At 38.8% G+C, this 14958-nt stretch overlaps 1 protein-coding gene and 1 long non-coding RNA gene across 12 annotated transcripts in view; one reads left to right on the forward strand and one right to left on the reverse strand.

Annotated features, from left to right (window-relative positions):
* Positions 1 to 13461, forward strand: part of LOC105372031 (uncharacterized) — a 46669-nt gene extending 33208 nt beyond the window's left edge. Inside the window, exon 4 of the long non-coding RNA XR_001753378.3 lies at positions 13252 to 13461. This is a non-coding gene — a long non-coding RNA (uncharacterized LOC105372031). The remainder of the gene's footprint in view (positions 1 to 13251) is intronic.
* ZNF521 (zinc finger protein 521) overlaps positions 1 to 14958 on the reverse strand; it is a 290243-nt gene that overhangs the window by 205314 nt on the left and 69971 nt on the right. The window lies entirely within an intron of this gene.

The raw sequence follows: 14958 nt of genomic DNA on the forward strand, positions 1-14958 counted from the left end.
CTGGGCAGGGCATCTCTGAAAAAAAGTCAGCAGCCCCAGTCAGCGACTTATAGATAAAACCCCCATCTCCCTGGGAGAGAGCACTTGGGGGAAGGGTCAGCTGTGGATGCAGCTTTAGCAGACTTAAACGTCCCTGCCTGATGGCTCAGAAGAGAGCAGCGGATCACCCAGCACAGCATTCGAGCTCTGATAAGGGTCAGACTGCCTCCTCAAGGGGGTCCCTGACCCCTGTGTATCCTAACTGAGAGATACCTCCCAGTAGTGGTGGACAGACACCTCATACAGGAGAGTTCTGATTGGCATCTGGTGGGTGACCCTCTGGGACGAAGCTTCCAGAGGAAGAAGCAGGCAGCAATCTTTGCTGTTCCGCAGCCTCTGCTGGTGATACCCCGGCAAACAGGGTCTGGAGCGGACCTATAGCAAACACCAGAAGAGCTGCAGCAGAGGGGCCTGACTGTTAGAAGGAAAACTAACAAACAGAAAAGAAACAGCATCAGTATCAACAAACAGGATGTCCACTCAGAGACCCCATCCGAAGGTCACCAACATCAAAGACCAAAGGTAGATAAATCCATGAAAATGGGGAGAAACAACACAAAAAGCCTGAAAAATTCCAAAAACCAGAACACCTCTTCTCCTACAAAGGATCACAACTCCTCACCAGCAAGGGAACAAAACTAGACAGAGAATGAGTTTCACAAATTGACAGAAGTAGGCTTCAGAAGGTCAGTAATAACAAACTCCTCTGAGCTAAAGGAGCATGTTCTAACCCAATGCAAGGAAGCTAAGAACACTGAAAAAAAGTTAGACGAATTGCTAACCAGAATAACCAGTTTTGAGAAGAACATAAATGAACTGATGGAGCTTAAAAACACAGCACGAGAACTTCCTGCAGCATGTACAAGTATCAATAGCCAACTTGATTAAGCAGAGGAAAGGATATCAGAGATTGAAGATCAACTTGATGAAATACAGCAAGAAGACAAGACTGAAGTAAGAAAGAATGAAAAGAAACAAACAAAGCCCCCAAGAAATATGAGACTATGTGAAAAGACCAAATTTATGTTTGATTGCTGTACCTGAAAGTGATGGGGACAATAGAACCAAGTTGGAAAACACACTTCAGGATATTAATCAGGAGAACTTACCCAACCTAGCAAGACAGGCCAACATTCAAATTCAGGAAATACAGAGTACACCAAAAAGATACTGCTCAAAAAGAGACCAAGACACATAATCGTCAGATTCACCAAGGTTGAAATGAAGGAAAAAATGTTAAGGGCAGCCAGAGAGAAAGGTGGGGTTACCCACAAAGGGAAGCCCATCAGACTAACAGCGGATCTCTTGGTAGAAACCCATAAGCCAGAAGATAGTGGGGGCCAATATTCAACATTCTTAAAGAAAAGAACTTACAATCCAGAATTTCATATCCAGCCAAACTAATCTTCTTAAGTGAATGAGAAATAAAATCCTTTACAAACAAGCAAATACTGAGAGATTATGTCACCACCAGGCCTGCCTTACAAGAACTCCTGAAGGAAGCACTAAACATGGAAAGAAACAACCGGTACCAGCCACTGCAAAAACATACCTAACTGTAAAGACCATCAACACTATGAAGAAATTGCATCAATTAACAGGCAAAATAACCAGTTAGCATCATAATGGCAGGATCAAATTCACACATAACAATATTAACCTTAAATACAAACAGGACAAATGCCCCAATTAAAAGACACAGACTAGCAAATTGGATAAAGAGTCAAGACCCATTGGTGTGCTGTATCCAGGAGACTCATCTCACATGCAAAGACATACATAGGCTCAAAATAAAGGGATGGAGGAATATTTACCAAGCAAATGGAAAGCAAAAAAAAAAAAAAAAAGCAGGGGTTGCAATCCTAGTGTTTGATAAAACAGACTTTAAACCAACAAAGATCAAAAGAGACAAAGAAGGGCATTACATAATCGTAAAGGAATCAATGCAACAAGAAGAGCTAACTATCCGAAATAAATATGCACCCAACACAGGAGCACCCAGATTCATAAAGCCAGTTCTTAGAGACCTACAAAGAGACTCAGACTCCCACACAATAATAGTGGGAGACTTTATTGACCCCACTGTCAATATTAGACAGATCAACGCGACAGAAAATTAACAAAGACATTCAGGTCTTGAACTCAGCTCTAGACCAAGTGGACCTAATAGACATCTACAGAACTCTCCACACCAAATCAACAGAATATACATTCTTCTCAGCACCACGTAGCACTTATTCTATAATTGACCACATAATTGGAAGTAAAACACTCCTCAGCAAATGCAAAAGAATGGAAGTCATAACAAACAGTCTCTCAGACCACAGTGCAATCAAATTAGAACTCAGAATTAAGAAACTCACTCAAAACTGCACAACTACATGGAAACTGAACAACCTGCTCCTGAATGACTATTGGGTACATAAAGAAATGAAGGCAGAAATAAAGATGTTCTTTCAAACCAATGAGAACAAAGACACAACGTACCAGAATCTCTGGGACACATTTAAAGCAGTGCATAGAGGGAAATTTATAGCACTAAATGCCCACAAGACAAAGCAGGAAAGAACTAAAACTGACACCCTAACATCACAATTAAAAGATGTAGAGAAACAAGAACAAACACATTCAAAAGCTAGCAGAAGACAAGAAATAACTAAGATCAAAGCAGAACTGAAGCAGATGGAGACACAAAAAGCCCTTCAAAAAATCCAGGAGCTGGTTTTTGAAAAGATCAACAAAAAAAGATAGACCACTACTCAGACTAATAAAAAAGAAAAGAGAGAATAATCAAATTGACACAATAAAAAACGATAATGGGGATATCACCAGTGTTCCCAGAGAAATAACAATTCCCATCAGAGAATACTATAAACATCTCTATGCAAATAAACTGGAAAATCTAGAAGAAATGGATAAATTCCGGGACACAAACTAAAGACTAAACAGGAAGAAGCTGAATCCCTGAATAGACCAATAACAAGTTCTGAAACTGAGGGAGTAATTAATAGCCTACCAACCAAAAAAAGTCCAGGACCAGATGGATTCACAGCTGAATCATACCAGAGGTACAAAGAGGAGCTGGTACCATTCCTTCTGAAACTATTCCAAACAATAGAAAAAGACAGAACTCTTCCTAACTCATTTTATGAGGCCAGCATCATCTTGATACCAAAACCTGGTAGAGACACAACAAAAAAAGAAAATTTCAGGCCAATATCGCTGATGAACATTGATGCAAAAATCCTCAATAAAATACTGGCAAACCGAATCCAGCAGCACATCAAAAAGCTTATTCACCATGATCAAGCCAGCTTCATCCCTGGGATGCAAGGCTGGTTCAATATACGCAAATCAATAAACATAATCCATCACATAAACAGAACCAATGACAAAAACCACATGATTATCTCACTAGATGCAGAAAAGGCCTTTGACAAAATTCAACAGCCCTTCATGTTAAAAACTCTTAATAAACTAGGTATTGATGGAACGTATCTCAAAATAATAAGAGCTATTTATGACAAGCCCACAGCTAATATCATACTGAATGGGCAAAAACTGGAAGCATTCCCTTTGAAAACCGGCACAACACAAGGATGCCCTCTCACAACTCCTGTTCAGCATAGTATTGGAAGTTCTGGCCAGGGCAATCAGGCAAGAGAAAGAAATAAAGCATACTCAAATAGGAAGAGAGAAAGTCAAATTGTCTCTGTTTGCTATTACATGAATGTATATTTAGAAAACCCCATCGTCTCAGCCCAAAATCTCCTCAAGCTGATAAGCAACTTCAGCAGTCTCAGGATACAAAATCAATTGCGAAAATCACAAGCATTCCTATACACCAATAACAGACAAACAGAGAGCCAAATCATGAGTGAACTCTCATTCACAATTGCTACAAGGAGAATAAAATACTTAGGAATACAACTTACAAGGGATGTGAAGGACCTCTTCAAGAACTATAAACCACTGCTCAAGGAAATAAGAGAGGACATAAACAAATGGAAGAACATTCCATGCTCATGGTAGGAAGAAGCAATATCATGAAAATGGCCATAATGCCCAAAGTAATTTACAGATTCAATGCTATCCTCATCAAGGTACCATTGACTTTCTTCACAGAGTTGGAAAAAACTACTTGAAATTTCATATGGAACCAAAAAAGAGCCTGCATAGCCATGACAATCCTAAGCAAAAAGAACAAAGCTGGAGGCATCACACTACCTGACTTCAAACTATACTACAAGGCTACAGTAACCAAAGCAGCATAGTACTGGTACCAAAACAGATATATAGACCAATGGAACAGAACAGAGGCCTCAGAAATAACACCACACATCTACAACCATCTCATCTTTGACAAACCTGACAAAAACAAGCAATGGGGAAAGGATGCCCTATTTAATAAATGGTGTTGGGAAAATTGGCTAGCCATATGCAGAAAACTGAAACTGGATCCCTGCCTTACACCTTATACAAAAATTAACTCAAGATAAAGACTTAAACATAAGACCTAAAACCATAAAAACCATAGAAGAAAACCTAGGCAATACCATTCAGGATATAGGCATGGGCAAAGACTTCATGACTAAAACACCAAAAGCATTGGCAACAAAAGTCAAAATTGACAAGTGGGATCTAATTAAACTAAAGAGCTTCTGCAATCCAATAGAAACTATCATCAGAGTGAAGAGGCAACCTACAGAATGGGAGAAAATATTTGCAATCTATCCATCTGACAAAGTGCTAATATCCTGAATCTACAAAGAACTTAAACAAATTTGCAAGAAAAAAACAACCCCATCAAAAAGTGGGTGAAGGATATGAACAGACACTTCTCAAAAGAAGACATTTACACAGCCAACAAACATATGAAAAAAAAGTTCATCATCACTGGTTATTAAGAGAAATACAAATCAAAACCCCAATGAGATATTATCTCATGCCAGTTAGAATGGTGATCATTAAAAAGTCAGGAAACAACAGATGCTGGAGAGGATGTAGAGAAATAGGAACACTTTTACACTGTTGGTGGGAGTGTCAATTAGTTCAACCATTGTGGAAGACAGTGTAGCGATTCCTCAAGGATCTAGAACTAGAAATACCGATTGACCCAGCCATCCCATTACAAGGTATATACCCAAAGGATTATAATTCATTGTACTATAAAGACACATGTACACATATGTTTATTGTGGCACTGTTCCCAATAGCAAAGACTTGGAACCAACCCAAATGCTCATCAAGGATAGACTGGATGAAGAAAATATGGCATATATACACCACGGAATACTATGCAGCCATAAAAAAGAAAGAGTTCATGTCCTTTTCAGGGACATGGATGAAGCTGGAAACCATCATTCTCAGCAAACTACCACAAGAACAGAAAACCAAACACTGCATGTTATCAGTCACAAGCGGGAGTTGTACAATGAGGACACAGGGATACAGGGAGGGGAACATCACACACCGGGGCCTGTTGTGGGTTGGGGGGTTGGGGAGGGATAGCATTAGGAGAAATATCTAATGTAGATGACGGGTTGATAGGTGCAGCCAACCACCATGGCACATGTATACCTATGTAACAAACCTGCACATTCTGCACATGTACCCCAGAACTTAAAGTATAATAATAATAAAAAACTGTAAATCCTAATAACGTTTAGGCCAGGTATGGTGGCTCACGCCTGTAATCCCAGCACTTTGGGAGGCAGAAGCAGGTGGATCACTTGAGTCCAGGAGTTCAAGACCAGCCTGGGCAACATGGCAAAATCCTCTCTCTACAAAAAATAAAAAATTTAGCCAGGCACGATGACATGCACCTGTAGTCCCAGCTACTTCGGGGGCTAAGGCAGGAGAATCACTTGAGCCCAGGATACGAAGGTTGCAGTGAGCCGAGATCGCTCCTCTGTGCTCCCAAGAGGAGTGAAACCCTGTCTCCAAAAAAAAAAAAAAAAAAAAAAAAAAAAAAAGACATTTTAAATATCTGCAACATTTACTTTTAAAAGATGAAGGTGCCAGAAAATAAATTTTGTTGCGCAGTCACAATATAAGCAGGCTAGCCCTACTGGATAGCTTCCCTCACTCCAATTCCATATATATTTAAAAGTTCAAACTTCTTTTCACGATCATCAATGTCAGTAGCAGCAGCAGGAAAACAAAAGACAAATATGGTTGTTTGAGAAGGAACCTGGTATAGGAGTTAAGGGCATGGAATCTGGAGGCAGGATGCCTAAGTTGAAACCCGAGCTTCATTATTCATATTTACGTGACTTTGGACAAGTTATTTGCCTTTTCTGGTCCATAGCTTTCCCATCTGTAAAAAGGTAATAACAATTACACTTAAATCAGATTAATAAAAGGGTATGTATAGTACTTAGAGTGTAAGGCATAGAGAGTACTATGTAAATATTTGTTATAACTACTTAGTATATATGGATTGTTCATAAGACATTATGTTTTAAAATTAGCTAGGAGTGGTTGTTTTACTTTCTAAAAGTTTCTACCACAATGTTGCATCTTGTACAGGCCTTATTATAAGAAATCTGCCACCTGTCCATAACGGCTAATTTGGGGTTAGGATAAGTACAGTTTTCTATTATTAATAATAAACTAATTGTTTAAAGTTTAGGTAGAACCACAGAACTTCAGGGTAGAAAGGGTCCTAACAGTTCAGAGGTATCATCTCACAGACCAAGAAGCTGAGGGCCAGAAAAATTAAACAACTCAGGCAAGCTTAGAGGTAGCTGGTGGAAGATTAAAAGGTGGAATCTACCTCTCCTTATCAGCTGTATTTCTTCACTTCCAAAGGGCAAGGGAAGAACCTTCTTCCATGATGCAGACACACTGATACTTTGGCCTCCCAAGACTCTGCTATAAGAATTATTGATCCTGGAATGAGGAGATTCCTTTGCTATTAAGGAATTTCCTTATTCAAGGAATACCAAGGAACCAGCATACCCACAAGAATTTCCCCAACATGGTCAGTAGTCATGGTGGTGATTTCAGCTGGGTTTAAGGGAAACTGGGGATACTCTACTATGTAGATATGACACGACCAGAAGGCGGTCTCTTCTAACTTCTGGATCTGATGACCAAATCCTCCCAGAGTCAGCTGACTATCAGGTAAGTTGTTACTGTGCTGTTATCTAAATACATAAAATGCAGACTATTACCATACTGTTGAAAACAATTAGATATGTGGTATTTATTAGAGGTTAATGGCATATGAATAAAATTTCACTGACAAATATTTCCAAAGATTATGTATTACAGAAAAAGGGAGAATCTACCAACACAACAAAATGGAAACAGGGATAGTCTCATTGGAAGGAAAATGTAACAAAGTTCAATATAGCTGAATCTACTCATATTTATGATACTGTTGTGGGCAGGTACTTTGGAATAATGAAGAAATACTTGCATACTGCCAGGCATTCAATGTACAATTCTTGGGGCATTCTTCAGACTTGTTTACAGAATGAAATAAGATGTTGTGTCTAGTGGATGGGAGAGTTGTCATTTGAATATATTTACAGTATCTTAAAGTATGTTGTGGGACTTATGGCTTGTCCCCTAGATTCCTTCCTCATTGTTGTATATTTAACTTTATGACCATCAGGCATGGCAAGTACCTCAATATCCTACTGTTCAACTAAGCAGCAGAGTACAGAGAAAAAAAAGTTTCATCCCCAAAGCGGGTGGAGGGAACAGAAATAAGGAAGAAAAAGAAAAAAACTTACAAACCTTATCTGGGCTTTCATTCAAAACAAATTCCTTATCCAACCTATAAAATATTGCCAAAAAAACTTGCTATAGTGCAAACACTCAATCATCAAGGTACTGAAAAATTTACAGTGGATTTCCTGCCGATTTGTGGGGCCACTGGATCCTGCTGCGATAAAACTTGCAAAAATATGACAGGCATTTGAATAAACCTTTCTATCTCATAATTGAGGTTTTGTAAAAGGATGAACTTCAACATTTCTCCCAATACAACTTATGGCGCAAAAATTTTTTTAAAAAATAGGAAGGTAAAGCCAAGGACATCACTAAAAGGGGGACAAATAAGCATGTTTTACTCTAATCTAGAGCTATAACTGGCTGAGTAGTTAAGATGAATGCAAACTAGTGAACAAATGAAAACGAATGTACAGAATCTTTACACTTTGATTTATTGGCCATCCGGGCACCCACTCATGCGGTAATAACATCATGTGTAGCACGCCTACCCATTTACTCTTAAGATAACAAAGATTATTAACCAGACAGCAAGAAACACATCATACTTTCAAAATACACATTTTGATTACCCACACTGTATCCACATGATGACAAGCTACTACATTTTCAGGGATTGCTCCCTCCCTCTTTCCTTCTCCCCATCAGCCAAGGTTTAGTGTTCTGCACTGGGGCCAATGGGCTTTCCTGCCAAACAAATCTAAGGAAAGGAAAGGGAAACAGGTCACAGGGCTAGACTGACCAGGATTGCCTACGCCACGGAGACAGGAAGCTTGGGCCTCCAGGGGTGACCCTTTTTGCAGCTGTGCCCTTCCCCTTGACACATGAGCACCAGCATACGCAGTGATCCATGAAGGCAGTGTGAGGGGAGTGAGAGAAAGGTGATGAGTTGACAGCATCTGCTAAAAGACGTCCAGGGAAGCTGCTATTGATGGCGGAGGAGCACAAAGTTTGGCAATCGGCCACCGGCACCATGTGCAAAAAGAGCTTACTTTCAAGGGCTAACTTATAAAGGTAAAATTTGAACAGTGATAGTGGAAAAAGCAGGGAATTTTTCTGCTTGGTGCCACCATACAGGTAAACTGTGCCTGTGAGGCTACTCAGGGCATCACAGAAAATGATCACTATCAGACCAAAAATATGCATGCCCTTATGCACAGCAAAGAGGGGCTTCATCACTCTCTCTTTCCTTCCCCTTCCTCCCCCTCCACCCACCCCAGACAGAAAGTGCTACCTTCACGTTCACCCTGCAGATAGAAAAATGTTAATTTAAGGCATATCAAAACACATTTTATAATGTATAAATATAATACCCAATAGACTCCTGAGAGATATACAAAATTAATCCCACTTGTGAAGGCCTTAATATTAGCTCTTTCCTCTTGGGAAGAATTTTAAATCCCACAAAAGCCCTTGATTTATTTCCTTCCTACACAACAGCAACAAACACTCTCATAATTTCTAAGCAATGTAAAATATCACTTTAATGCTGAATACATGGAGACAGAGAAAGAGCTCACTTAGAATGGATACTTGGACACCAAAGGAAGTACTTAGGGGTCCCACCTCCCTGAACAGTGGAGCATAATGCATTAATGCTGCCTGCCTAATTCAAGGAAAACAGAGCTCCCTGAAACTGACCTGTACTTTAAGACACATCCCACACTTCAATTTTACACTGCCCCTTCCAAAGCCTCGTTCATATGCGCACGTCACTTTCTATTTTGTATCTGTGAAGAAGTTAATGAAGTCTTATTAACACAGATATATTTAGTTCACCTTTATTTTACCTTTAACAAAACACAATCTGTGATGGTTCATTCTAAACTGAAAGTTAAATGAGTTTGGATATTATCATTAATAAGTGTATCTATTACATCAGGCCAGGGGCAGTGGCTCACGCCTATAATCCCAGCACTTTGGGAGACCAAGGCGGGTGGATCACCTAAGGTCAGGAGTTCGAGACCAGCCTGGCCAACATGATGAAACCTCACCTCTACTAAAAATACAAAAATTAGCCGAGTGTGGTGGCACACGCTTGTAATCCCAGGTATTCAAGAGGCTGAGGCAGGACAATCGCTTGAACCTGGGAGACAGAAGTTGCAGTGAGCCGAGATTATGCCACTGCACTCCAGCCTGAGTGACAGAGCAAGACTCCGTCTCAAAAAAAAAAAAAAAGTGTATCTATTACATCAGAATGTCTGAAAAAGGGAATATAAGCATTATATATTTATTAAGAGCAAAAGCTTATCAAATATTATAATTTTTCGATCTTTCCTTCTTCATTTCACCACTGCAAAATCTGGCTTTAAAACAATGTTACTTTCCTTTCCTATTGCCACAAACCAGCTAGTTTTTCATATATAGGAAGTAAGAGAAAGGTAAGCTTAGGGCACAAAAAAATAAAAAAAACCCCTACATAAATCTAACTTGGGTTTTTAAGTTAAAGATCAGTAGCGGAGTGACATCAAAGAGAAACTCGGACCCTCAACTATTAAGTAAAATATGCATAAATGATTGTACTGACAGAAACCTGAGTGCCAAAGGCTCAGTGGAAGAATGGGTGTGTGTATTTCATGTCATTTACCTTATCTTTCTGTGAGGAACACACCTAAAAGAAAATTAGCATTTCACTAAGTTATTTAGTTTCAGCTCTGGATCAGGTAAGTTAACATCTGCACTATATTTTTATGGGTGAAAAGCACCATACTAAATAGAAACATTACTAAAGCCACAATTATCTTGAATTAACAGTTATCATTGATGGCACAGAAGAGTAAGGAGTCAAAGATGATGAGGCCTTAAGAAACAGGAGGAAAGAAATAAGGAAGAAAATTAACATGACTTAACTTTCAAAATATTTTTCAAGGATGCCACAATCTTCCATTAAAATTAATGTACTGGTAGATTTCCCTACACCCACAATCCAGTTAAAATACAAGATCCATCATATCCAAATTTTGTGACAATGGTAAGTCTTCTTCAATCTGTGTGCAAATTACGAAATAAGGAAAATGTACTTCCTTACCTCCATCATTTGGAAAATGACACCTTTTAAGTCAATAATGCAATACTTAGAGAAAATGGTGCCACAGCAAAATATGACAGCACAGGCAATGCAAATTAGTGCTCAGATGGAGAGAATCACTATTCATGTACCCAAAAATGTGGTAATTCCAATATTCTGCAACTTGTATTTTGAATAGCACTTAAAATCTCAGTCCTCTACCGAGAATCCAATTTCTTTCATCTGTGATTTTTTGTGTTACTTACTCATTAGTAAATGCCTCAGCACATGACAAAGAAAAAGAGACAAGTATTTCCAACAAAGAGGAGATTCAAGTAAAGTTAACCCCCACTCTCTACCCACTTTTCCCTTTTGGGTCTGTTCTTCCATTTGAAGCGATCTGTGCTGCTAAGTCCCATTAATGCTAATGCAGGTAGTTATGACCCTCCACTAGCTGTGCCCATGCCTCGAACAGCCGCCACTCTTGCCTGCTTTACTGACCCACAGAACCCAGCCTCGCTGGTGATAAAAATGAAGAGTGTCTTGCAATTTCATCCCTTAATTGAGATCCTAGCATATGGCAAGAATCCAAGGCCCTTGCTCAGGTTGTTTATCTTTCAATACTTTCAAGTCACTTGCTGGCTAGAAAAGAAATTGCACTGTAATTTAAAGTGAAAGCAGTCAGCTTGCTGCTTCTAATTTTTCCTCCTCTTGTTTAAAAAAAAAATCTCTCTTTCTCCACTTTTAACAAATAATAAATGACTATAACCATGGATCCTCTACAGACTTGCTTGCCACTGTGAATAGTTATTATAAAGTGATGCCATAAAACAGGTCACTTTTTACAGTAGGTTGGCTTCAGGTACTTTATAACTCCGTTATTTTATTAACTTTTGGTTATCTTTCTCTTTTTCTAAACTTTTAGTCTCTGCAAATCTCAAGGAAAAACTGCCCAAATTGTGGAGAAACTGGTGGGGGAAGACAGAGTGAAGCGCTTAATTTTAATTCTGAAATCAAATGAAATATACCATATGCCACTGTTACCATAATCTGTCATGCCACCCATGGCTTCTATAATCAAAATGTCCCAGAAAAGGTAGACAGGAGTAGTGAGGAGGAAGGTGAAGAACAGGAGAGAGAGTGGCATTGTTTATACAACAAGAACCAACTTTATATAAGAGGATTACATCAATCAGACTTATTATGGAATTAATTTGGACACTCAGACAACTTATAAAAATATACTACAGCATTCTACAGTAATGATCTAATGCATTTCAACATATGTTAGTATAACTACAGCCTTTGGCCCATGACCAATACTACAGTGGTTTGTGTGTAAACGAGCTTCATAGAGTATTTATTTTTGACAAAGCTCTGTATGAATGATTTAAAATTCATTCAAAAACAAATGTACTTGGCTTCTCTTTAACAGGCAACAAAAAACTCCACAACGAATGGGCAGCAGAATTTCCTCTTTGATAACCAGTCAGGGGAAAAACTTGTTTTGCAGAGGGATGGACAACACATCCTTGTATAGCAAACATAATTTCAAACAAAAACAAGGTTATATATGGTTGTGATGTGGTATTCAACCAGAGCACTTCTGATTGACATGTATATGAATGCCGTGATGTGGAATGTAAATAGAAAATGTTTCATATGCAAGCGTTTTAACTTCACATTATGGGAAATAATAAATACTGAATAATGTAATACGAGGTATTTTTATCTTGGGGTTCTAATGACTAACCACTTGAGCTCTGCTTTTGTGGTTTATAATGTCACCAGAACCCTCCATGGAATTATATATAGAATAAATGTAGGCAATGTTGAATTACAAGGCTATCAGGCTATAATACATAAAGTAAGTACCTAATATAGCCTCATAAATTATAGGCTTTTATGGTCTAGCATTTTACAGCATAATGTCACAAACTGCAGTGATACGATATATTGATAAAGGATATGATATCACATTAGGTTTCAAAAAAATGTCCCTGGCACTACATTAGGGCCAAATTATTTCACAGAATCACAGGCTCAGAGCTGGAAGGATCCTTGGAGAACGTCACACTCCATGCTCCTCTACAGTCACCACCCAAACGCTGACTTCCCCTCATCGCTGCTCCGCAGCCCTGACAGATGGCCCTCCTGCCTCAGACTCTCCCAGTCCTGAAAATAATAGAAGAAAATGCCAGGGAAATGCCTCAAATGTCTACACATAACACAGACACCAGCACCATTAAGTGGCACATGTGAAGGTGAAATGCCCATGATGTCATTGAAGGCACACGACAATTCTGTTTAAGCACACACACACTCAGGCACTTTTACAAAGAAAAAGACCCTCTCTTTTGGTTTTCATCAGGATTGGGAAGGGATGTAAAAAATTAAAAAAAAAAAAAGAGCAAGATTTCTTTCTAATGTCTCTTTGTATCTCCTCCTTTTCTCTGTTTCAGATGCAATAATCATTACCTGATGACAGTCTACACCTTTACTCAATCACAGACACACACACAAGTCAGACCTAGAACTACATGTAGTACCACTGGATTCTGAAGGACTCCAGGCTTCTTTCAAAGTGAGAAACAAAGAAGGAAGGGACAGTAGAGCCCACATCCAGTAGTTGTGAGATTTTGGGCAAACTAGAAGGATAACATATAAATGTTGATATCACCCTTATTTGTTTCTGATCAATTCTTTTCTCTGTAAAACAATTTAAAGCAAAAGTAAATGGTATTGTCCCATTGAGAAGAACAGGGTTTTCCCAGCCTTCTAGGAATATATTTGTTTTAAATGTATTCACATCAAAGATTGATCAAGGATAATATATATTAATATAAACCATAGATTCGATCACCTAAATACAAGGGCTCATGACAAAGGCTTCTAAATACTGTCTCACTCTCTCTCTCACCCAAATCCCTTTCCGCTCATACTATCAATTCCTTGCTTAAATTCATTCTAAGCAAATCAATCCTTACACCTGTCTTGCCCTCATTTTCTACTTCCCAGTTGTGAAATTTCTCTTACATCCTATCAACAAATAATGGACTTAGGGGTGAAGAGTCCAGAGATATATAAATTAGTGTTCCACAACCATTTAATTTCCTATGCACCTACAGCTTTATCCGTCTTGCATGGTATTTGATCTGCAGAAACTTTTTCATAGAAAACCAGGACTAGAAAATAATGAGCAAAGCAAGAAGCAATCTCAAACACACGTGAGGAAATTATGCTTGATGTAAACCTACTTTGATCCTGTTATTGTCATTCAACACAAATACTAAATGAGAGAGGAAATGTCCTCCTCATTCCTGCACACAGAAGGCAAGTGGGAGGGTCTTGCTTTCTAACTAAAGTACAACTTTGGCCCAAATTAAGTTTGCTGACCCAAATCACAAGTCAAGAAGTTTGTTCCATAGAATGCATGTGCTGGAAATGTAGACTGTGGAAAACAGTAAAAGTTTAAGAATGACTTACTCTACATAGTAACAATCAATCACAGCTAACAGTCATTGAACACTATGTTCTAAACTCACACTGTGTCTGACATGCATAATCTCCTTTACTCCTTAAGGGAACCCTAAGAGAAGGGGACTATTAGTAGCTCCATTTTACAGATACAGAAGCACAAAGAGTTAGTTAAGCAACTTCCCCAAATCACGTGACTATTAAAAGGTGGAGCTAGAAATTGCGCTCAGGCAATGTGACTTGCCTTCCATGAATGCGATGAAACACAATCTTACCAAAAGACTTTAGGAGGTTTCTGACTGTCCAGTGCAGTTTAGAGTATCTTACCAGGCAAGTGGCTAGAATAAAGCATGCGGTCAAAAATAACGGAAGGAATCACAGGCGGTACTTCATCAGCATTTACTAGAATCCTGCTGGCCTAAAACTGGCAGAAAAAAAAAAATCCTCTCATATTCTAGGCAAAGCTTTTTGCCTTTTGTTCAAAATAGGATCCTGTTTTTCAGACTCTTGAAAATACTCTTTGCACCCTTCCTGAGAAAAGGATTAATTTTGTTAGGAAGTTGCCACTCGTTTATAATTATAGGAAAATTCTGTTTAAGAATCCAAGGGTTCCAAAAAACAACTCCTCTGCTCCATTTCCTAAACTTTCTACAGTTTGGAAGGTAAACTTGAGAACACAGAGCACCTATGAA

This window comes from Homo sapiens, chromosome 18, assembly GCF_000001405.40.
Source record: "Homo sapiens chromosome 18, GRCh38.p14 Primary Assembly".
Taxonomy (NCBI): Eukaryota; Metazoa; Chordata; class Mammalia; order Primates; family Hominidae; genus Homo; species Homo sapiens.